The 24,720-nt window shown below is 39.5% G+C and overlaps 2 protein-coding genes across 3 annotated transcripts in view, besides 1 other annotated feature; both read left to right on the forward strand.

Annotated features, from left to right (window-relative positions):
- LRRC37A2 (leucine rich repeat containing 37 member A2) overlaps positions 1-24,720 on the forward strand; it is a 676,337-nt gene that overhangs the window by 237,775 nt on the left and 413,842 nt on the right. The window lies entirely within an intron of this gene.
- Positions 1-24,720, forward strand: part of NSF (N-ethylmaleimide sensitive factor, vesicle fusing ATPase) — a 166,796-nt gene that overhangs the window by 19,898 nt on the left and 122,178 nt on the right. Inside the window, exons 2-4 of one of the 2 annotated variants that reach the window (NM_006178.4) lie at positions 13,678-13,763; positions 16,047-16,146; positions 19,845-19,884. In NM_006178.4, coding sequence (NP_006169.2) covers positions 13,678-13,763; positions 16,047-16,146; positions 19,845-19,884 — 226 coding nt within the window. The remainder of the gene's footprint in view (positions 1-13,677; positions 13,764-16,046; positions 16,147-19,844; positions 19,885-24,720) is intronic. The other variant, NR_040116.2, reaches the window with a different exon arrangement.
- Positions 16,844-17,376: an enhancer, noted in NCBI's record as "OCT4-NANOG hESC enhancer chr17:44704776-44705308 (GRCh37/hg19 assembly coordinates)". NCBI's record gives its function as "activates a minimal SCP1, AML or CMV promoter by ChIP-STARR-seq in primed H9 embryonic stem cells {active_cell/tissue: H9 hESC(primed)}" and the evidence as "EXISTENCE:reporter gene assay evidence [ECO:0000049][PMID:30033119]".

A 24,720-nucleotide genomic window follows, 5' to 3' on the forward strand; every position in this document is an offset into this window, starting at 1 on the left:
GAAACATTTTGATTCATTTAACAACATTACTCTGAAACTTTTTAGAGTAAGAGTACCAAGTCACTGAATAAGACGATCTTGAAATTAAACGATATTTTACAGTTTTAAAAACACCTTCACAGATCTTTTCTTATTAGATTCTCAGCACAACCTTATGAGTTGGCACTGTCAAAATTCAGTTCAACAAACAAAATCCAACTAACAGGAAAACTCACAGCTAACATCATACTTAATGGTTGAAGACTGAAAGCTTTCCCCCTTAAGATCAGAACAAGACAAGGATGCTCTTGCCACTCCTATTCAACACTCTATTGGTGGTTCTAGGTGGGGCAGTTAAGCAGGAAAAAGAAAAGACATTTATATCAGAAAGAAATAAAACTATATTTACCGATGACATGATCTTACATGTAGAAAAATCCTACAGAATTTACCAAAAAAAATTGGAACTAATAAATGAGTTCAGCAAAGTTGCAGGATACAAGATTATTATCTAAAAATCAGTTGCATTCCTATATGCTAGCTATGGATAATCTGAAAATGAAATAGAAAAAATTCCATTTATAATAACATCAGAAAGAATAAAATACTTATGAATAAAGTTAACCAAAGAAGTACACTAAAAAGTACACTAAAAAACAGAAAACATGTTGAAGGAAATTAGAGATCTAAATAAATTGAAAGACGTCCTGTGTTCATGGCTTGGAAGACTTAATATTGTTAAGATGACAGTGCTACCCAGATTTATCTACAGGTTTAATGCAATCACTATCACAGTTCAACTGCCTTTTTCCCGGAAATGGACAACCTGATCTTATAATTCATATGGAATTGCAGAGCCATATTTGCCACAACAGTCTTGAAAAAAAGAGAACAAAATTGTAGGACTCATACTTCCTGATTTCAAAACTTATTACAAAACTACAGTAATCCAGATGGCATGTCACTGGCATGAGGAGAGTCTTGTAAACCAATGGAATGCAATTTAGAGTCCAGAAATAAACCCATACATTTATGGTCAGTTGATTTTGACCAGGGCGCCAAGATCATTAACTGGGGAAAGAATAATCTTTTCAACAAATGTTGCTGGGGCAACTGGATATCTACATGTAAAAAAATAAATTTGGATCCCTGCCTCACATCACATATGAAAATTAACTCAGAATGGATCAAAGACCTAAACCTGTTAAGTTCTTCGAAGGAAACATAGGTGAAAATCTGTATGACCTTGGATTAAATGGTGATTTTTAAAGATATAACACAAAAACACAAGCAGTGAAAGAAAAAGGTAGATAAACTGGACTTTGTTAAAGTTAAAAACTTTCATGCATCAAAGGACACTGTAGAATGAAGACAACTCACAGAATGGGGGAAAATATTTGCAAATTATATCTCTGATAAGTATATATATTTTATATATATGTTGTTTATATCCAGAATATGCAAAGAACCCTTTCAACTCAACAAAGATAAGACAATGGAATTTAAAAATGGGCAAAGCATTTGAATAGAATAGACATTTCTCCAAAGAAGATGTACAAATGACCTATAAGCACATGACAAGATCTTCAACATCATAGTCCATAGGGAATTACAAATCAAAACCACAATGAGAGATAACACTTTACACCCTCTAGGATGGTCATACTTTTTTTTTTTTTTTTTTTAAAGACAGTAACAAGTTTTGATAAGGAAGTAGAGAAATTGGAGCCCTCATTGCTGATGGGAATGTAAAATGATGCAGCTACTGCACAAAAGTTTTGCAGTTCCTTAAAAAACTAAACATAGAATAACTCAGCAATTCTACTCCTGGGTATAGACCCAAGATAATTGAAAACATATGTTCATACATTAACTTGTACATACATTAACATGTGGCATTATTCATAGTTGCCAAAAAGTGGAAGCAACCCAAATGTCCATCAGCTGATGAAATGATAAATACAATGTGGTATATCCATACAATGAAATCTTATCCAGCTGTAAAAAGGAATGAAGAAGCCAGGTGCAGTAGCTCACAACTGTAATCCCATTGCTTTAGGAGGCCACGATGGGAGGATTGCTTAAGGCCAGGAGTTCAAGATTGGCCTGGGCAACATAGACCCAGTCTCTACAAAATAAATAAATAAAAAGAATGAAATACTATTACGTGCCACAACATGAACCTTGGAAACATTATGCTAGGTGAAAATCCAGTCACCAAGATGACGAATTGTATGATTCTGCTTACGTGAAATGTCCACAATAAGCAAATTCATAGAGACAGAAAGTAGATTAGTGGTTGAGAAGGAGTGAGAGAAGGGATGAATTGAGATTAACGGCTAGTAGGGACAGAGTTTCTTTTTGGGGTGATGGGACTGTTCTGGAATTAGATAGTGATTATGGTTGTACAACATAGTAAATATACTAAAAACCACTCAAAGGCTGGGTGCAGTGGCTCATGCCTATAACCCCAACACTTTGGGAGACTGAGGCGGGAAGATTACTTGAGGCCAAGAGGTCAAGACCAGCCTGGGCAACACAGCAAGACCTTGTTTCTACAAAAAAAAAAAAAAATTGTTTTAATTACCTGGGTATGGTGGTGTGTGCCTGTAGTCCCAGCTACTTTGGAGGCTGAGGTGGGAAGATCACTTGAGCCTGTGAATTTGAGGTTACAGTGAGCTGTGATTGTGCCACTGTGATCCAGCCTGAGTGATAGAGCATGACCCTGTCTCTCAAAACAAAACCCTCCAAAAAACAAAAACCACCCAAGTATACATTTTAAATGATTAATTTTATGTGAAATATATCAGCTGGGCGTGGTGGTTCACACCTGTAATCCCAGCATTTTGGGAGGCAGAGGTGGGCGGATCACGAGGTCAGGAGATGGAGACCATCCTGGCTAACATGGTGAAACCCCGTCTCTACTAAAAATACAAAAAATTAGCCAGGCATGGTGGCACATGCCTGTAGTCCCAACTACTCAGGAGGCTGAGGCAGGAGAATTGCTTGAACCCGGGAGGCAGAGGTTAAAGCAAGCCGAGATCATGCCACTGCACTCCAGCCTGGGCGACAGAACGAGACTCTGTCTTTAAAAAAAAAAAAAAAAAAATCTCAAAAACGGCAATGAGAACTCAATTAATATTTATCATACTGTATATTCCCTGAGTGGTGCAGGAGAATCAGAGCTTAGAATCTTGTGAGGAAGGCATGGTACTTAAATAAGTCTAGTGTAAGGCAGCTTGTAATAAGTAGTACTAAGACTGCTGAAGAAGCACAAATAAAGGAGATATTCTATCTTACTAGGAACCAGGGAGTTTCACAAACTTGGCTTTGCAAGGTGGGAAAGATTTTCACAGGTGGAAGGGGTTTGAAATAGGGAATTCAGTCAAAAGGAATAGTGTGAGTGAAGGAATGGAGTTTGGAATGTGGGGTACATGGGGTTGGGGTGGGGTATTGAGGTAGATGACGCAGAAAAATAAGTTAAAGATAGATCTTGCATAGGTGGCTGTGAGTAGCATGCTAAGGAGTTTGGGCTTTATTACTTATGAATCATATTTTTGGTTTCAGGTCATGTCTGGTGGCAGAGGGAAGGCTGAATTGGAGGAGAACAAAAGCTAGAACCAGGGACAACAATTATTACCATTGTAGTTTTTTAGGAGAGGTGATATGGCTGAACTAGGTTATGGTTGTGAGGCTGGAAGGGAGGCACATCCAAGTGACAGTGCAGTAGACTTAGTAGACTCTTGATTGTTTATGTGTGCATTCCAGGGATAGGCAGTGAAGGGAAGAATGACCCTGAAATCTTGAATTTAATGACTTGAAAGGATAATGATGGTATTAACAGATGAGGAACATAGCAAGACAAACAAATGAAAAAGTGAATACTGAGGAGAAGGAGGTACCACTGAATTTGGCATTTAGTCATTGGTGATTTTGAAGACAGCAGTTACAGTAAAGTGGCTGCTGGAAAGGATTTCAAAGAATGGTTGAAGAAGATAGCCATAGGATGAGAACATGGAAGGCAAGGAAGGGAGACTTGAGAGATTTGGTAATAAAGAGAAGAGAGAAAAGGGTGCTAGTTTGAAATGAGTTAAAAGAACTACAGAGTAGAATTAAAATAAAGTAGAATTATGGGATTTTTGCTTTTTAAGTGACCCATGAGAGGCTTACTGGCAGTGTGCCAAGATTCAAGAGAGCAAAGATTGGCAGGGTGGGATTAAGTGATGGGATAGCCGGGTGCAGTGGCTCATGCCTGTAATCCCAGCACTTTGGGAGGCTGAGGTGGGTGGATCACTTGAGGTCAGGAATTCGAGATCAGCCTGGCCAACATGGTGAAACCTGTCTCTACAAAAAATACAAAAATTAGCCGGGTGTGGTGGTGGTTGCCTGTAATCCCAGCTATTTGGGAGGCTGAGGCAGGAGAATTGTTTGAACCTGGGAGGTGGAGGTTGCAGTGAGCCAAGATCGAGCCACTGCACTAACTCCAGCATGGGTGACAGAGTGAGACTCCATCTCAAAAAAGAGAAAACAAAAAACAAAAAAAAACGACGGTAGGGAGCCTTCTGCCTCTTTAAACATTTGAGATGCATGTCCTGAGATGCTTCTGTGAAGTTAAGAATATTAATTTTTTGATACGAATCTGACAAAACTAGACATCAAAATATGCCATATATGGTAATTAAAACAATGTGGTATTAGTATAGAAAGCAGACAAATAGTTAATGAAGTAGAACAACCAACCCAGAAATAGAACCAGATACACCTGAAAACTTCATATATGAGGTTTAAAATCAGTGTGGAAAGCTGGAAATCACCCATAGTTTCGTTATCCAGTCAGTTGTTTTTCACATTTTGGTGTGTTTCCATTTAGTTGGTTTGCCATACTTTTTTAAAAATAATGCTTTAAGGCTGAGCGTGGTGGCTCACACTTGTAGTCTGAAGCAGGCAGATCACTTGAGGTCAGGAGTTCGAGACCAGCCTGGCCAATCTGATGAAACCCCATCTCTACAAAAAATACAAAAATTAGCCTGGTGTGGTGGTGCTTGCCTGTAGCCTCAGCTACTTGGGAGACTGAGGTGGGAAGATGGCTTGAGCCAGGGAAGCAAAGGTTGCAGTGTGCTGAGATGGCGCCACTGCACTCCAGCCTGGGTGATAAAGCCAGACCTTGCCTCACAAAAAAAAAAAAAATGCTGTAAAGTAAAAGTTCTGTATACAATTCTGTGATATGAACCCTACCTTAGTGTGTTATGAGGATTTTGATCCTTATATGATATGATATATATAATCAAGTGCGGGTACGTTGTAGTTTACAGAACCATTACTTTGAAACAAGACCTTTAGGTTACTCCTAATTCATCACTGTTAAAATAATGCTGTAGGGAAAAAATTACACATAAAAGTTTTCTATATTTAAAGTGATTTTTGTGAGACAAAGTTTATTTATTGTAAAAACAGTTCCAGCAGTTCAGAATTGTAAAGAGTTTTACAGAATTGTAAAGAGTTCAGAATTGTAAAGACATTTTCTTGTCTTTCTCCTTGGTGGTAACCACTGTTAACAGTTTAGTGTGTATCTTTTTTTTAAGTTTAGTTTTTATTTTTTTGTAGAGACAGGGTCTTGCTTTGTTGCCCAGGCTGGGGTGCAGTGGTGTGATCATAGCTCACTGCAGCCTCATACTCCTGGGCTCAAGCAGTCCTCCCACCTCAGCCTCCCAAGTAGTTGGGACTACCGGCATGTACCACCACGCCTGGCTAATTTCTGTATCTTTTGTAGAGACAGGGTTTCACCATGTTGCCCAGGCTGGTCTGGAACTCCTGGGCTCAGGCGATCCCCCTGCCTCGGCCTCCCAAAGTGTTGGGATTACAGGCATGAGCCACTGCACCTGGACTAGTTTCTTTTTAATTTCTGAGTAGTAGTCAATTGTATGGCTCTCCTATAATTTCTTCATTCATTCATCTTTTGGTAGACATTCATGTTGTTTCCATTTTTAGGCTATTATGAGTACAGCTGTTGTGATCATTTGTGTGCGAGTCTTTGTGTGGATATATTTTCATTTCTTTTGACTAAAAACCTAGGGGTGCACTTGTTGGGTCACATTAACTTTGTAGAAACTGCATTGCATCTTTGCCGATATTGAAAGTTGTCAGCCTTTTATATTTTTCTGTGCATGCTTTTCCCCCCAAAAGACCAAAATGGGAATTGTTTTTCTTTTCATTATAAACTTGTAAAGGAATTTTAAAGTTCTAAGGGATGCCAGGCAGGAGGTTCATCTATGTGAACAGTTATTAGTTTGAGATAGATAATGTCAAGGATATCCCTAAAGGCTTTTCAAGAGATAACTATAGGACATATAAGTTTAACTTATTTCTACCCCATCACTTCTAGTCACATGTGACTTCAGAATTTTAACAGAAATTATTATTATAGGAATATGTAGCACAGAGGGATTCCATAGGCCTGAAGATTAGTACTGATGGCCTTTCTTGCATTATTCTAGGCTAGTGCTATCCGATGAAACTTTCTGCAGTGATAACCACTAGCCACAGGTGGCTTTTGAAACGTAGGGCTAGTTCAACTGAAGAATTGAATTTAACTTTAAATTAATTTGAATAGTGAAATATGTCTAGTGATTACCGAACAGTGTAGTTCTGAAATGTTATTTTTCAGGAAAGATCCTCTAGCAAGAAGTAGTTGAGTGAGACCTGTTAGCTGAGCTGGCCCTGGGGCAGGTTTGTGTTTTCAGTCCTTCCCTTTCCTGTGGGAGAAATGAAACCAAAGCCTAGAGCACCACAGAAGAAGAACCAGTGGATTCATAAGGGTGACAGTTCAGGTAGGGGAAGCTGTTTGGTAATGAGCTCTTTTGGTCAGATGCCACACTATTTTTCTTTCTGTTTATTTTGCCCTATTAAATTATTTAGTAAATAGTAAAGCGTACTTTAATCCAGTTTTTAAAGTGGACGTTTGGATGAAAGTATGTGATTTAAATTCCAAAACTGTGCAGTGTTGTCCAGAAGAGTCCTGATTAAATCACCCCAGTTTCTTTGATGAAGATAAGCAAATAATTTTATTTTTTGCTGTAATCCCAGCTACTCGGAAGGCTGAGGCAGGAGAATCGCTTGTACCAGTCCGGAGGCTGCTGCCCTCTCACAGGGCTTCCTCCTCTTGCACAGACGCACCAGTGCCTTCAGCCCCACTGGTCTCCCTCTTCTCCTTTCCTGGCCCCTGCTGGCCCAGTAGATGGGCCACTGGAGGCCACTAGATGGGGGCTGGGGAATGTGATGTTGGCGATCTGCGGTATCTTCAGGGTGACAGCCATACCCAACGCGTGGGACCTGGCTTCCACATCTATAGACCTGACCTAAGGAAATATGTGGGCGTGTGCATAAGGATGCCATCTCAGAACTGCATATTAATAAAAAGCTGAATCAAACAGTGTCCAACAAGGGTGGCTGTTCCAGCTGGTCATCTACAATCTCAGCTCACTGCAACCTCCGCCTCCTGGGTTCAAGCAATTCTGCCTTAGCCTCCCGAGTAGCTGGGACTACAGGCACACACCGCCACACCCGGCTAATTTTTTGTATTTTAGTAGAGATGGGGTTTCACCATGTTGCCCATGCTGGTCTTGAACTCCTGAGCTCAGGCAGTCCTCCCACCTTGGCCTCCCAAAGTGCTGAGATTATAGGCGTGAGCCACCGCACCTAGCCTGTACTTTCATTTCTTAATAACTGCATGACTGTAGTGGTTGGCTTTCATTATTGTTTCCTAGGGGCAAGGTCAATGTTAGAAAAATTGTGGAATTTTCCCTTGGCATTGCTGTGGTGAGTAGACAGCTACTATTTATAGAGACTTATACTTCGTTGAAAAAATGAGATACCATGCCTGGCTTACCATAAAAACACAGATGTTTCTGGATTCCAGTAGGGAGGCCTTTTGTTCACAGCATCTGTTTTGGTTGGCCAGCCAGATGACTTCTGTGGATTTTTTCACTCCTTTTGAAGGACACTTGACAAATAAACAAGTTTATAAATGAAAGAGTTAACAGCATTTTGTAAATTTATTTTATTACTTTAGCTATATCGTTCTGTATATTTTGAACTATCAGATCATTTTAGCTCAATTTTATCACTTCCTAAATAACCTTGAGACGATCAGTCCTTTGTTACATGTTCTTTGGATTGTTTATTCTGCAGTTGAGACAGATTTTTATTGATCTATAAATTTTTGTGTTCAACAAACATTTAATGAGTATTCACTGTGTACTAGGCCCTGTACTAACACTGGGAACTACATATGTGAGCAAGATATAGTCTCAGTCTTTGAGAAGTTTAGTGTCTTATATGCAGTGCAAACATGTAGACAGAATAAAATTATAGTTGAGTCCTTCCATTTGAAGTTTATTTCATCAGTTTAGTGGGGAGGGGTAGGTGTCTAGGAATGCCTTCCAGAAAAAGTAGTGTCTAAGTGGAGAATTGTAGAATGAGTGGGAGTTGTCCAGGGATGGAACAGGGGTTAGTGGCGGAGATTATATAAAAGAAAGAAGCTTGCAGGTGAAAATGACCCTGGGAAAGTGGGAAACTGAAAAAGTTCAGTACATTTCTGTCATATGGCTGATCAAGCTGTGACTGGGCAAAATGCTGTCAGCATTTGTTGAACACATAAATGCTGTCTCATTCACAAAGGAGACTTGTGACCTAGACTTTATTCATCTTGTGCTAAATTAGTGATTTCCAAACATTTGATCATGAATCTCATAAGTAAAAAATGTTTTGATTATGTATCCTCATATATTGATTATATGCCAATATTTGTTTATAGATGATATGTAGTACTAAAAGTTATATACGCAGTAGAACATGTATAGAAAACAAAAAAAATTAAAAGGATGAGCTAAAGATGGCATGTACAATATTCTCACAGTGTTAATTTTACTGAAAATACGGAAAGTAGGCTGGGTGCAGTGGCTCACGCCTGTAATCCCAGCACTTTGGGAGGCTGAGGGAGGCAGATCACTTGAGGTCAGGAGTTTGAGACAAGCCTGACCAATATAGCGAAATCCCATCTCTACTAAAAAATACAAAAATTAGCTGGGCATGGTGGCACACGCCCGTAATCCCAGCTACTCGGGAGGGTAAGGCAGGAGAATTGCTTGAACCCGGGAGGCGGAGGTTACAATGAGCCGAGATCATGCCACTGTACTCCATCCTGGGCGACAGAGCAAGACTCCATCTAAAAAAAAAAAAAAAAAAAAAAAAAACCCAGAAAGTAAAGTGGTACATCATTATTTAAAATCTTCGTTTAATATTATGTGATACAGCTGCTCAGAGGGCTGTTTCTAAATTCAGTTTATTTTGATACTTTAATGGCAGTCAAAGCCTGGATCAAAATGGAAGAATTTGGCTGCACTTTCTAAATCATATTCTTTCTTTCTCCAAACTTATTCACTATTTATGGAAATGCTTTATTGAAATGTGGCTGGTAAATATCCATCTATTAGTTTTTCTTGCAGATTAATAAAAATATATTATACTTTTATTGTGTTAATAAATGGGTTCCAAAAATCACTGTTAAGTCTTCATTTGGAAGATATTTTAAAAAGTTTTAGAATATTCTGTTTCTGACTTTATAAAGCATGAAGATACGAGTTTTTGGTGTCTTTATTTTTTAGATTTTGTATATATTGTTTCAACAGCAGAATAACTTAGCAATGGAAATGTTTCCAATTATCCAATTTTGAAATGCTCTATTAGGAAAGATTTTTTTTTCTCTCGCTCTCTTTTTTTTTTTTTTTTTTTTTTTTTAAAGATGAAGCCTCTCTCTTGTCCCCAAGGCTGGAGTACAATGGTGCCATCTTGGCTCACTGTAACCTCCGCCTACTGGGTTCAAGCGATTCTCCTGCCTCAGCCTCCCGAGTAGCTGGGATTACAGGTGCCCGCCACCACGCCCGGCTAATTTTTGTATTTTAAGTAGAGATGGGGTTTCACCATGTTGGCCAGGCTAGTCTCAAACTCCTGACCTTAGGTGATCCGCCTGCCTCATTCTCCCAGAGTGCTGGGATTACAGGCGTGAGCCACTGCACCCGGCCGATTTTTTTCTCTTTTTCTTTTTTCTGGAAAAGCTGAAAATAATTCTGACATGTTGCTAAACATTTTTATTTTGTAGGGGCAGAGTGAGTTTTTTTGTTTTTTTAATATCTTCTTGGTAGCATACTACTTATAACCTCCTCAGAAATATTTAGCAAGTTTGGAACTCTAGTCTTTTTATTTTAAAAAAATTGTGTAACTCATCTACATTTAACAAATCTTTTAAATACATTTCTTGTGGTAACTAGTGAATCTGTGTGGATTTAAAAACAAAAAAAAGATTATGAGGCCAAGGCAGGTGGATCACTTGAGGCCAGGAGTTTGAGACCAGCCTGGCCAACATGGTGAAACCCCATCTCTACTAAAAATACAAAAATTAGTCAGAAGTGGTGGTACACAACTGTAGTCCCAGCTACTCTGAGCTGAGAATGCGCCACTGCATTCAATTCTGGGCGACAGAGCAAGACTATCTCTCAAAAAAAAAAAAAAAAAAAAATTCAGTGGCTACTCTCTATCTCCCAGAGTATAGGAAGATTCTATATTCATACAGTTAACCTCAGTGACATCTGAGGTACCTTGTTCTGACTTAATTGCAGCAATAGTTTACCTGTGAATGAAGCCGTTAAAGGCTTTTGTATCAGATGCTATCACTGTAACTTTGTTCTGGAATTTTTTTTTTTTTGAGATAGGGTCTCGCTCTGTTGCCCAGACTGGAGTACAGTGACACGATCTCAGCTCACTGCAAGCTCCGCCTCCCGGGCTCACGCCTTTCTCCTGCCTCAGCCTCCCAAGTAGCTGGGACTACAGGTGCCCGCCACAACGCCTGGCTAATTTTTTGTTATTTTTTAGTAGAGACGGGGCTTCACCGTGTTAGCCAGCATGGTCTCGATCTCCTGACCTCATGATCCACCCACCTCGGCCTCCCAAAGTGCTGGGATTACAGGTGTGAGCCACCGCAGCTGGCCAGAATTCTTTTTTAAAATTCCAGTCAAAGCAGTCATTTCATCAGTGGTTACAGTTTTCCCATAAAGCACCTTGTTTCATTTACAGTTAAGAATACCTCCCTTTTAATACATTGTTCCTTGGTATCTTACAAAGTTGTATTTCCTGTATATTTCATAATTACCCAGCAAATACCCTAAGATGAAAGAATCATCTGTATTTTTATCCAATTGTATAGCAAACCCCACACACTGTATTTGTCCTGATATCTTCAAGTCTTTAGGGTTTTCTAAGAGCTTTTGACTATACTTACCAATAAAAGAATACATTTAGTTTGTCACCATTTTTATTTCTGTGTATAATTTCAGCTATGGTCCTTGGCTTTTTTTAGGGAAACCTTAGCAGTTTCGACACTAACTTTCGTACAATTTTGTGAAGTGTCACATTAAATAGCCTGTGACTTTAGACATAGGTGGAAAAATTATAGACGTTTAACTCTTGCAGTGAACACTTAAAAGCCTGGTGGATTATGAGGACTTTGTTCGTGCCATCAGATTATATCTTAAGGTAGAGTAGACATGTAGAGTGAGGTTCATCTTTAATAAAAAATGGGCTGGGTGCAGTGGCTCACACCTGTAATCTCAGCACTTTGGGAGACCGAGGTGGGTGGATCACAAGGTCAGGAGATCGAGACCAGCCTGGCTAACACGGTGAAACCCTGTCTCTGATGAAAATACAAAAAAATTAGCCAGGCGTGGTGGTGGGTACCTGTAGTCCCAGCTACTTGGGAGGCTGAGGCAGGAGAATGGCGTGAACCCGGGAGGCGGAGCTTGCAGTAAGCCGATATCGCACCAGGGCAGTCCAGCCTGGGTGACAGAGTGAGACTCTGTCTCAAACAAATTAAAATAAATAAATAAATAGATAAATAAATGGTGTGGCTGGACGCAGTGGCTCACGCCTGTAATCCTAGCACTTTGGGAGGCCGAGGCGGGCGGATTGCCTGAGCTCAGGAGTTCGAGACCAGCCTGGGCAACGTGATGAAACCCCCGACTCTACCAAAAATTCAAAAATTAGCTGGAGCATGCCTGTAACCCAGCTACTTGGGATGCTGAGGCATGAGAATCGCTTGAACCAGGGAGGCAGAGATTGCAGTGAGCTGAGATCCACCATTGCACTCCAGCCTGGGCAACAGAGAGAGACTGTGTCAAAAAACAAAACAACACATAAATAAGAAATTGTGTAAAGTCAATATAAATACCAGTACTAATATTTTATTTTTATACCCCAAAGGATTATCGTATAATACAAACACCCTTCAAGTACACATATCCCACTTTGGAGACTAATGCCCTAAACAACAGGGATAATGATATTGAAACTGGCCTTTTAGTTAAAATAAAAGCAAAGCCAAAAATAATTCACTTTCCTCTATAAATTTATATTTGGGAGACACATTTAAGAATAATCGTCCTGGCCAGGTGCAGTGGTTCATGCCTGTAATCCCAGCACTTTGGGAGGCCAAGGTGGGCGGATCGTGAGGTCAGGAGATCAAGACCATCCTGGCTAACACGGTGAAACCCTGACTCTACTAAAAATACAAAAAATTAGCTGGGTATGGTGGCGGGCACCTGTAGTCCCAGCTACTCAGGAGGCTGAGGCAGGAGAATGACATGAACCCGGGAGGCGGAGCTTGCAGTGAGCCGAGATCACGCCACTGCACTCCAGCCTGGGTGACAGAGTGAGACTCCATCTCAAAAAAAAAAAAAAAAAAAAATCAGCTTTGGCTTGAGGTTTGAAGAATGAACCCTTCAGTCATAGACTATGACTACCTGTCATAGCTCACTAGGAAACCCTAGGGAATCATGGAAGGGTTATTGGTTAAATATATTATATAAAGGAACATTTTGCTAGTTGCTATTGACCAAAAAGGCTGTTTTTTTTTTTTTTAAATATAGTCTGTAATTATTTTTGTTGAAAGATATTTGGAAGATGGTTTTTCTCAATCTATAGGAGATACAGTTCGTAGCCACCTGGGATCTCTTATAAAAAGATACTTTTTCATAGTATACTCTTTATAATATGCATAACATTTCATAATATACTTTTGATAATATACATAAAATTTGATACATAAGTTTACCAAATTTATTGAATTTACTTCAGTGCATTTTTATTAGTCAAGATTCTTTGGAAGATATGGAAAGCTAATTCAAAAAAGCTTGAGCAAAAAAAATTTGTTGGCTCGTAACTAATGTTCAGGACTGGTCTCAAGAACTTGGTTGCCAGATCTGTGTTTCCAGGTTATCTATTAGCTTGTCTGTGTCTCTGTGATAGTTTTACCCTTTTAGAGTGGAAAATCTTCCTCCTTGTGGTGCTCTGGCTTGCAGAAGAATGCCTTTGGTCTAGCGCCAGCATATATAAAATCCTGTGGGTGGGATAGAGTAGATGTGGTTGCATGTGTGCTGACTGGCAGTCTCACTAAACCACATGGAATGGGAAAGGAACAGTTTCCCAAAGGAAGGGTTTGCTCTTAATGCAGAGGAAGGGATGCTGGGAGTCAAAAATAATAGATGTTCATTATAGCAATGAGTGATGAAGAGAGGACAGAAAGGCATAAAATATTCTTTAAGGGAATAGAACATGACTTAATTTGATTTTCCTAATCATTGATTCTTACAGAGCATGCAAGCGGCAAGATGTCCTACAGATGAATTATCTTTAACCAATTGTGCAGTTGTGAATGAAAAGGATTTCCAGTCTGGCCAGTGAGTATCTGACTTTGTTTTCTTTTAACCTGCTAAGTGGCATTCGGGAAACTTCCAGAGAGTCATTTTTAGGAAACGTTGGAAAATATTTTTAAAAAATTCTTGCTGAGTTGGAAAATGGAGAAGATGAGAAAAAGTTATGTATTTGAATCATTACTGTGTCAAACTTTGATAAATACTGTATAATGTTTTAAAAATGTTTTATGTATAAAACTCTAGTTTTCATCAGTTTTCTTAGTAGAGCTAAACATACTGGTTGTATGAATCATATATGGCAGAGTTGTTAGGTGTTTGGTTCTGGCAAACTCAGATTGTTTGAGTTTTCCTGGCTCTACCAATTACAAACTGTGTGACCATTTCTGTACCTCTATGTCCTGATCTGTAAAATGGAGATGATCTCTTCCTCAAGGTAGCTATGAAGATTGAGTTACATAAATAAAGCACTTAGAACAGTTCCCAACATGTTAACAATCCCTTAGTAAATATTAGCTGTTATGATTATTATTACCATGATAATCCAAGAGACATGAACATTGGAAGATGGGCTGGGTATGGAGGCTTACGCCTGTAATCCTAGTACTTTGGGATGCCAAGGCAGGCTGATTGCCTAAGCTCAGGAATTTGGGACCAACCTGGCCAACATGGTGAAACCCCATCTCTACTAAAAATAAAAATTAGCCAGGCATGGTGGTGTGCGCCTGTAGTCCCAGTTTCTCAGGAGACTGAGGCATGAGAATCACTTGAACCCAGGAGGCAGAGACTGTAGTGAGCCGAGATCGCGCCACTGCACTCCATCCTGGGTGACACAGCGAGACTCTGTCTCAAAAAAAAGTAAAGGAAAAAGAAAATTGGAAGCTGCAAAGCAAATGTAGAATCCTTAAAGGCATTTTGCACTGTAATTTATTTTAACTGATTCATATCACCGCACTGCCAGGACTTCTAAAGACCCTGCTGCAAGTTCAGTGCCATCCATATGCTTCTGAGATTGGTACAGATAAGGAGATGAAGGGGCTGTAGGGAAATAAGAGGCAAGGTGGTAGGGTTTTAACTGAGCATTTTTCTTAAAATGTTATCTGTGAAATACCTGAGTTTCACAGAGTTAGAAATGCTAATCATCTTTGGTTTCCAGCTTCAGAGTAAGAGGCTGTACTATATGGTGATATTAACATTGTTTCCAGTGCTAAACATTCTGTGATGCTAAATTGAGCACAGGATTTTCAACAGATAAACTGAAGTATAGATAATCAACGTGAGAATTTGTGGAATTCTTTTACATATGTTAAATGTTCACTGTACTCATGGTGGGGTTACTCAAAATGTAGTTGATATAAGGAACATGTGTTCTAGTGGCAAAAAAAATACGTATAGAAACATTAGCCATTGATGTGAAAAATTACAGCATTCTGAAAAGATAATGTTTAAAAAGATAGTGAGCTAGGCATGTTAGGGCATGCCTGTAGTCCCAACTACTTTAGAGACTGAAGCAGGAGAATCTCTTGAGCCCAGGAGTTTGAGGCCAGCCTGGTCAACATAGCAAGACCACATGTATTAAAAAAAAAAAAAAAAAAAAAAAAAGATACTGCTGCTGCATAACAGGATTTGAAGCTTCTATCTTACACATAGTACTTTTTAGTTACCTGGTATAGGAGATTATCATGAGAGGACTGTTTTTTTTTTTATTTACAGGTAATTTCTGAACAGGGAATTAGCACAAAATTTTTTAAAACAGTAAATATTGATATCTACATGAAAGCTGATGTATTTTAGGAATTTTTTAAATCTTTTTTTTTTTTATTTTGTAGGTTGTTTTTGTTTTAGCCTGTTGAGAGAGTCTGCAAATAAATTTAATGAGTAGTCTAAAAACTAACTTTTTTTTGATTGCTATATCCTAGCTCTTTTATCTTTGGCTCTCTTCTCCTTATTAGGATGTGAAGTAATTCTCAGGAGAGGAAATGCATCTAGTTTTTACTTGATATCAAGGACTCTAAATCACTGGCTTCAGTTTTATGTAAACTGGAAATGTAAGGAAGTTGGTATTTTGGATGGTATTTTGGCTGGATTCTACTTGATGAGTGTTTGACCCAAGGTGCTCCTTATATCTGGAAAACATTTGGGATTGCTGATAGTTTGGGAAACTAAATTTGTGGTTCTATTTCTTCAAGACACAGATAGTGTCGTTTCCACCTGATACTCATTAAATATCAGTTTGACAAGAAATACATTTTGAAATTATGTTCTTCATTTCCTTCAATGTGGAGTACTAACTGTGTTTCTGTCCTTTAGGCATGTGATTGTGAGGACCTCTCCCAATCACAGGTACACATTTACACTGAAGACACATCCATCGGTGGTTCCAGGGAGCATTGCATTCAGTTTACCTCAGGTAACTCAGATGTTAATTTGTTCTCTTCTGTTTTTGAAAGTCATAGAATATGAATAATCTGTTCATTTTAAGCAAGCATCACCCTGTGACTGTATTGATTCATATTGAAGAAAAATATCTAAGTATTATATAAGGAATTTAAAGATACAGTCTTCTTTTTTTTTTTTTTCTTTTTTTTTTTTAAGACAGGGTCTCGTTCTGAGACCCAGGCTGGAGTGCAGTGGCACGATCATGGCTCCTGGTCTCAAGCAATTCTCATACCTCAGTCTCCCGAGTAGCTGAGACTACAGTCTTGTACCACTGTGCCTGACTAATTTTAAAATTTTTTGTAGGGATGGTGTCTTAACTGTGTTGCCCAAGCTGGTCTTTAACTCTTGGGCTCAAGTAATCCTCCCACCTTGGCCTCTCAAAGTGCTGGGATTATAGGGTGTGAATCATCATGCCCAACCTAAAGACAGATTCTTAATTGCCAGTTTTTGCTATGGCTGCCTTCTTTTGGCTTGATTTTTTTTCCCTAATTTTTAAAGATTTTGCAGTAAAATCAGTCAGCTATCACATAAAGCGTCAAGTTATTTTAATGTTAACTGCCAGGGTAATAGAAAAGTAGAAAACATTTTATTTGTGAAGTTGATATCTAAGAATGGTGATTTTATAATGTGATGGCGTTATACTAAAGAATTTGGAAAGAGTCTCAAATTACAACATAATTTGCTAGGCTCCCATAACAACTGGATGGGTTGTGATTACAGTTACAACTGTTGATGGATTCTGTAGAATCCAGAGAATTAGATTGCTTAGTGCTGTCCCAGGCACATCATACATAATATAAAGCACCAAGAATACTAGTCTGTATCCTCTTCTCCCTTATCATTTTACTCAGGCTGCTGACTGTCCCCAGTCCTAAGTAATGTAAATGGAATTCCTACCTCCTCCTAGTATGCTAATGAGCATTGGTTGACTTCCCTGAAGGTTTAGAGAAAGAGATCAAACACTCATTTAAGAACTATTAGGCTGGGTGCAATGACTCATGCTGGTAATCCCAGCACTTTGGGAGGCCAAAGCTGGTGGATCACTTGAGTCCAGGAGTTCAAGACCAGTGGGCAACGTGGCGAAACCCCACCTCTACTAAAAATATAAAAATTAGCTGAGTGTGGTGGTGCATGCCTGTAGTCCTAACTTCTTGAGGGGCTGAGGCAGGAGGATCACTTGAGCCCGGGAAGTTGAGGCTGCAGTGAGGCGAGATAGTGCCACTGTACTCTAGCCTAGGTGACAAAGTGAGACCCTGTTTAAAAAAGAAAAAAACAAAAACAAAAACTATTAGATGGGCCAGGTACCTCACGCTTGTAATCCTAGTGCTTTGGGAGGTGGAGGAGGATCGCTTGAGACCAAGAATTCCAGATCAGCATAGCGAGACCCTTGTCCCCCGCACTAGTCTCTACAAAAAAAAAATTTTTTTTAATTAGCTGGGCATGGTGGCACATGCCTGTAGTCCAGGCTACCTGGGAGGCTGAGGTTGGGAGGATCACTTGAGCCTAGGAAGTCGAGGCTGTAGTGAGCTATGATTGTGCCACCATGCTCCAGCCTTTGCTCCAGAGTGAGATTCTGTCTCTTAAAAAAAAGGGAAAAAAAAGGAACTATTGAAGATCTCTTGAAGCCCTCAAAAATTACAGGAAATTTTCACTTACTATTCCACCTGTCTGTTTGATGCCTCTTCATTATCCAGACCACTTTCACGTTTGTTTCTATAGATTAAAAGTTTGGGATATTCCAGGGTTCTCCAGCTTTTACAGAGTTCCATTTGGGATTCTGATTGTTAGCAATAGCTTGAGGTGTGACAGTTTCTCCTTGTCTCTGTTTTGTAAAAAAAAAAAAAAAAATTTCCCCGACATTCACTGTAGGCCAGCCTCTATTCTAGGTACTTTGGCATGTGTTAGCTCATTTAATTCTCCAAACAACCTTATACAATAGCTACTGTTGTTATCCCTAAGGACTGTTGTATTAGTCCATTTTCATACTGCTATGAAGAAATTCTGGAGACTGGATAATTTATAAGGAAAAATGAGATTTCATGGACTCACAGTTCCACATGGCTGCAGAGGCCTCACAATCATGGTGGAAGGCGAAGGAGGAGCAAAGTCATGTCTTACATGGCGGCAGACAAGAGAGCGTGTGCAGGGGAACTGCCCTTTATAAAACCATCAGATCTTCTGAGACTTACTCACTATCATGAAAACAGCATGGGAAAACCCACACCCATGATTCAGTTACCTCCCACTGGGTCTCTCCCATAACACATAGGGATTATGGAAACTACAATTTAAGATGAGATTTGGGTGGGGGCAAAGCCAAACCATATCAGCTGTCTTTGGGATTGAAGTACAGAACCTAAATGTGGCTTCCTTGTGACTTAAAGTCTAAGCTTAACGAGCATGGTGCTAAATTTCAGGTTGGCCAGAAGTGGGATGGGGTTTTACAGAAGAGGTCTTCTGGGGGAGGTGAAGGGCAGAGTGGAGGGAAACAGGATGTGGTAAGAAAGCCACAAGGGAGAGCACTTGTTGCACATATTCACAGTTCAGTGTCTTCTAAATTACCCGCCACAAAGTCTGCAGTGTTTGGATGGGCAGGTGAACTACTGATTTTCAACCAAAAATTGTTTTTCTCATTGTTCTTTGGAGTGTTATCAGTAATTACTAATTTTGAATCTATACCAAGCAAACCCCAGATTCCTGCCTAAACACAATCTGGCCTGCCTTCATACTTCTTGCCATTGTAAACAGTAGGGATTTGGGAAAGCCTGAAATCTAGCTGTAAATGTCTAAAAATCTTCTGGCTAGTATACAAAGAGTAGCCATGACCATCTAATGATTTCAGTCCCTGACTGGGTTTCAAAATAGATTTTCTGACCAGTTTTAATTTAGTCTTCATGAATTGAATGTCTTCCTTTTTGAGATACTGTAACAAACAGTAAAACTAACTGCAGCAGTACATTTAGAACACTGAAGTGTGATCTGATACAGTGAAGACCTTCTGTAGCATCATATTGTGCAAAGGAACATCCTCCTCAGTGGTGCCAGCTTTACTGCAAAAGGCAAGCTTTGCACGTTTTGAAACAGATGTTCAGATGTAAACTGTAGCACATGCTTTACTTTCCTAGGGTAAGTAACAAAGAACCATTACTGGGTAGCTTAAAACAACAGAGATTTATTCTGTCACCGTTGTGGAGGCCGGAAGTCTGAAATCAAGGTGTCAGTAGAGCTATTCCCTCTCTGAAGGCTCTAGGGAAGAACCTGTTCTGTGCTTAGCTTCTGGTGTTGCCGGCAATCCTTTGGTGTTCCTTGGCTGTAGCTGCATCATTTCAATTTCTGCCTCTGCTATCACATGATGGCATTCTGTCTGTGTGTCTATGTCTCTTTCTTAGAAGGACACCAGTCATATCGGCTTAGGGTTCACCCTAATTCATTATGACCTCATGTTAACTTGATACATTTGCAGAGATTGTATTTCTAAATAAAGTCACATCCACAGGTGTTGGGGGCTAAGACTTCAACATACTTTGGAGGGGGAGAGCACAGTTCAACCATAATAGCATACCATGTTTTGATCTTTGAGTGTATTCCTAAAATTCATTAAAATTCCTCTTTTTCTCTTGTCTAATTTTGATGGCTTTGGTTTTAAGTATCTTTTTTTCTCCTTTACAGAGAAAATGGGCTGGGCTTTCTATTGGGCAAGAAATAGAAGGTAGGTATATTTTTTAGCCACCTGATAAAGATTTTCTATGTGATTTTCTCACAGTTATTGAGATCTGTACAATTTTCTATTACTAGTGGTCAGATCTTAAACATTCATTGTATCAGAAGACTGGTTACATCTATGAGAATGGGAAGGAAATAGTTATGGTACCTCTGTTCCTATATCTTTTATGAAGTGTGTGATAAGGTCGTCATAGTTCAAGGCAAGGAAAGCAATTTATGACTTCCAGTTGGGGGCGTGGCGGGGTGGAAAGACTAAGCTGCTAATAGATAATAAGCCAAAGAACTAATAAGCAAAAAGTGGCATTGTCTCAGGCAATGTGGCAAAGTTAGGAAATGGAGTATGAGTCGTCTTTAGTCAGATGATTTTATGTCAACTTCATGGATACAGTAGGGGAAGGAAAGAAAATGCAAGTGTAATTAAACCAGCTTTTCTTCTGCTTGTCTTTAAAACTTAAAAAAAAATTGTATTTATAGAAAGGTTGCAAAAATAATACGAAGAATTTCTGTATACTACCTTTACCCAGCTTTACCAATTGTCATATTTTCTTTATCATTCTGGCTCCCTGTCTTCCTCTCTGGGTCTCTGTCTCTCTCTGTACACACACACACACACACACACACACACACACACACACACACACATCTTTTATCCTACTCCTCATTTAGGAACCTGACAACTTGTAATTTTTTCTAAGTTAGATGGAATTTAAACATTGGGGTTATTTTATTTTATTTTATTTTTGAGATGGAGTCTCGCTCTGTTGCCAGGCTGGAGTGCAGTGGCGCAATCTCGGCTCACTGCAACCTCTGCCTCCAGGGTTCAAGCGATTCTCCTGCCTCAGCCTTGCAAGTAACTGGGACTACAAGCACTTGCCACCACACCCGGCTAATTTTTGTATTTTTAGAAGAGATGGGGTTTCACCATGTTGGCCAGGCTGGTCTCGATCTGTTGACCTCGTGATCCACCTGCCTTGACCTCCCAGAGTGGTGGGATTACAGATGTGAGCCACCACGCCCAGCCAACATTGGTGTTATTTTTAGTTAGCTTTTTCTTTGTGGAAGTATGAACACTTGTTAAATTTAATGAGAAAGTGGGGTAGTATGTAGCTTAGGTTTCTAATTTTCATAAATTAATTTTTCTAAATATGAGGCTAAGAGTACTTAAAACTTTGAATCTAGATATTTTCTATTGTGACAAGATACAGAAATTCAAGATTATAAATTTTGATGAGTTGAGAAATGTGTTTTGCGGTTTAAGTTATAAAAGCATTCTTCTGCTAACAGAAATGCTTATCTGGATTGTAAAGTCAGATCTTTAAAGAAGTGGCTCAAACAGACTTAATAAGCAAAATTGTAAAACCCAGTGATAGGTGGGACTAAAGTGGAGTAAGCTTGAGGGAAGGTAGGGTTTTGGGGCCCAAGTGATGTGGATGATGTAGCCATAAAGATAGAAAACTGGTTTGGTTTAAGTAGTGATGTAGACCAAGATAGGATAGGAGGTGTGGTTTGAAGGAGTGCTCAAGTATTCTGGAATGGGAGTTCCGTAAGGTGAAACATTTTAGTCAAATCAGTGATTTTAGTCTGAGGGAATCTTCTGGAGGAATCATTTAGTCGGTCTTCTTTCCATCTGGCAATGCCATATTTTAAGTGTTACAGGCTGATGTTTTGACCACTATATATACACCTATTATTGTAAAGTCCAAGTTTATTCAAAGAACTGGATACACTTATTTTTTGCTTATAAAATCTTTCTTATTAGTCTTTTATATTAAATTACTATTAGCCGTAAAATAAGAAAACATTCTCAATCTTCTTTGATCCAGGATGAAATCTTCAGGACTCTTGTCCCTTTGGGACTGACCATGGTGCTGACTGTGGTGCTGCCTGGGATACTGTCCATGGTGCTGCCCATAGCACTTGAAATTGTAACAGTTTGGTCTTTTCTATTTAGGAACATTGGCCTTAAATTAAAATGCATTTGAAAACTACAGTCAGTGCATTACTACAGTCAGTAGTAATTATATTTTTATTTATTTATTTTTGAGATGGAATCTCGCTCTGTCGCTGAGGCTGGGGTGCAGTGGCATGATCTCAGCTCCCTGCAACCTCCTCCTCCCCAGTTCAAGCAATTCTGCTGCCTCAGCCTACTGAGTAGCTGGGATTAGAGGCATGTGCCACCACACCTGGCTAATTTTTGTATTTTTAGTAGAGAAGGGGTTTTGCCATGTTGGCCAGGCTGGTATCGAACTCCTGACCTCAAATGATCCACCTACCTCAGCCTTCCAAAATGCTGGGATTACAGGCATGAGCCACCACGCCTGGCCAATATTTTAAATATACTTATTCAAATTTCTCAGTATGAAGATGACATGAATATATGTATATACACACATATATATGCATTATGACATTATGATATTGTTTTGGTGTCTTTAATGCACAAAATGGTATTATACTGTACAAACCTTTCTGCAGTAGACTTTTGTCACTCAATATTATGTTTTCAAGGGCCATCCATCTTTTTTTGAGATGGAGTTTTGCTCTTGTTGCCCAGGCTGGAGTACAGTGGTGTGATCTTGGCTCACTACAACCTCTCCTCCCAGGTTCAAGCAATTCTCCTGCCTCAGCCATCTGAGTAGCTGGGATTACAAGCACTCACCCCCACGCTGGCTAATATTTTCTATTTTTATTAGAGATGGGGTTTCACCATGTTGACCAGGCTGGTCTTGAACTCCTGACCTCTGGTGATCCACCCACCTCAGCCTCCCAAAGTACTGGGATTACAGGTGTGAGCCACCACGCCTGGCCAGGCCGTCCATCTTTAATAAATATACATAAAGTTGGTTTTTGTTTTTTTGTTTTTTTTTTGTTTTTTTGACAGGGTCTCACTTGGCTGGAGTGCAGTGGTGCAGTCGTGGCTCACTGCAGCCTCAGTACCTGGCTAATTTTTTAATTTTGTGTAGAGATAGGGTTTCACTGTGTTGCCCAGTCTGGTCTCTAAATCTTGGACTTAAGTGATCTTCCCTCCTTAGCCTCCCAAAGTGCTGGGATTGCAGGTGTGAGCCACTGTGCCTGGCCAAGTTTTAATTTCAATAAAAATTGCTGTAAAGTATTCTACATTATGAATATACTACATTTTATTCATTGTTCTCCTACTGATAAACATTTTTCAATGTTTAAGTACTATAAATAATGCTGCAATGAACCTCCCTGTAGATGTGTTGTTAGACAAATGTTCTAGCATCTTTCTGGGACAGACATCTAGAAATGGAATTGCTGAATCATCATATTCATTTTTACATTAATATTTCAACCTATAAATGTTTTCAAACTACATGAGGGAAACAACTAAGCTCTTTTGCCTATCAAAGTTACTCAGCATATAACCTGTACTTTCTAGGATTTTTTTTTTTTTTTTTTTTTTGAGACAGAGTTTCACTCTTGTTGCCCAGGCTGGAGTGCAATGGTGCGATCTTGGCTCACTGCAGCCTCGCCTCCCAGGTTCAAGCGATTCTCCTGCCTCAGCCTCCTGAGTAGCTGGGATTACAGGCATGCACCACTGCGCCCGGCTAATTTTGTAGTTTTTAGTAGAGACGGGGTTTCTCCACGTTTGTCAGGCTGGTCTCGAACTCCCGACCTCAGGTGATCCGCCCAACTCAGCCTCCCAAAGTGCTGGGATTACAGGCATGAGCCACCGTGCCTGGCCATTCTAGGAAATGTTAAGAAGGAGCAAGCCATCCAGAATTGGAGACAGGAGAGTATTCTGAAACTTTTAGCCAAAATTTGAACTTATTATTTGATCTTCAGTGAGTTTTATGTTCCTTCCTCAGGCTTTGTTATTTTGCTTTTGAAGTAGTTAAAATATGTATATGTCCCCCTTTAAATACAGAAATCTGATTATACAAACAATTTCATTTAAAGAGTTTACAGAAAATCGGCCGTTCGTGGTGGCTCACGCCTGTAATCCCAGCACTTTGGGAGGCCAAGGCAGGCAGATCACTTGAGGTCAGGAGTTCGAGACCAGCCTGGCCAACATAGTGAAATCCTGTCTCTACTAAAAATACAAAAATTCGCTGGGCATGGTGGTGTGCGTCCGTAATCCCAGCTACTTGAGAATCTGAGGCACGAGAATCACTTGAACCCGGGAGGTGGAGGCTGCGGTGAGTTGAGATCGTGCCACTGCACTCCAGCCTGGGTGACAGAGCAAGACTCTGTCTCAAATATAAAATAAGAGTTTACAGAAAATCCTTGTACATAACTCAAGGGTCTAGAATTTAAGAAATAAGTTTAGAACAGAATTTAGAGTGTGAAACGACCATAAAGACTTATCTAGTTCAGTCTTGATTTATAGATGTGACAAATCAAGGCACAGACAACTTAAATTATTTACTTGGATTCTTCTGATTGCTAGCAGAATCTGTTGAAACACACATACTCAAAGTCCCTTTGAAGAAAACAGCTTTGTTTGTAAACCACTAGAATCTTTGCAACAGACATTTAATACTGCACAGTGACTTCTTTTGTTTACCTCTTGCTATTTGACCTCAGTAACTCACAGAAATGCCATGCCTGTTGTTCAAAGCAAGTGTGAAAAAACAGTCTTTGTTTATAACCTGCTTTTGTGGTGAGAACTGTAGAAGCTCACTTACCCAATGTGACTTGGACTGGTAATTAAGTGAAAAGTTGGTTAAAGGCTTTTTCTTGGAGGTGTGGTCCATGGATTGGAGTTCTGTATTATCTTTTGTGCATACACTTTACCCATAATTTCCAGGTGGATTTCTTTGAAATGGCTGGAGAACTTAGACTTTGTAGAGCATCTGAG

Source organism: Homo sapiens, chromosome 17 (genome assembly GCF_000001405.40).
Source record: "Homo sapiens chromosome 17, GRCh38.p14 Primary Assembly".
NCBI lineage: Eukaryota > Metazoa > Chordata > Mammalia > Primates > Hominidae > Homo > Homo sapiens.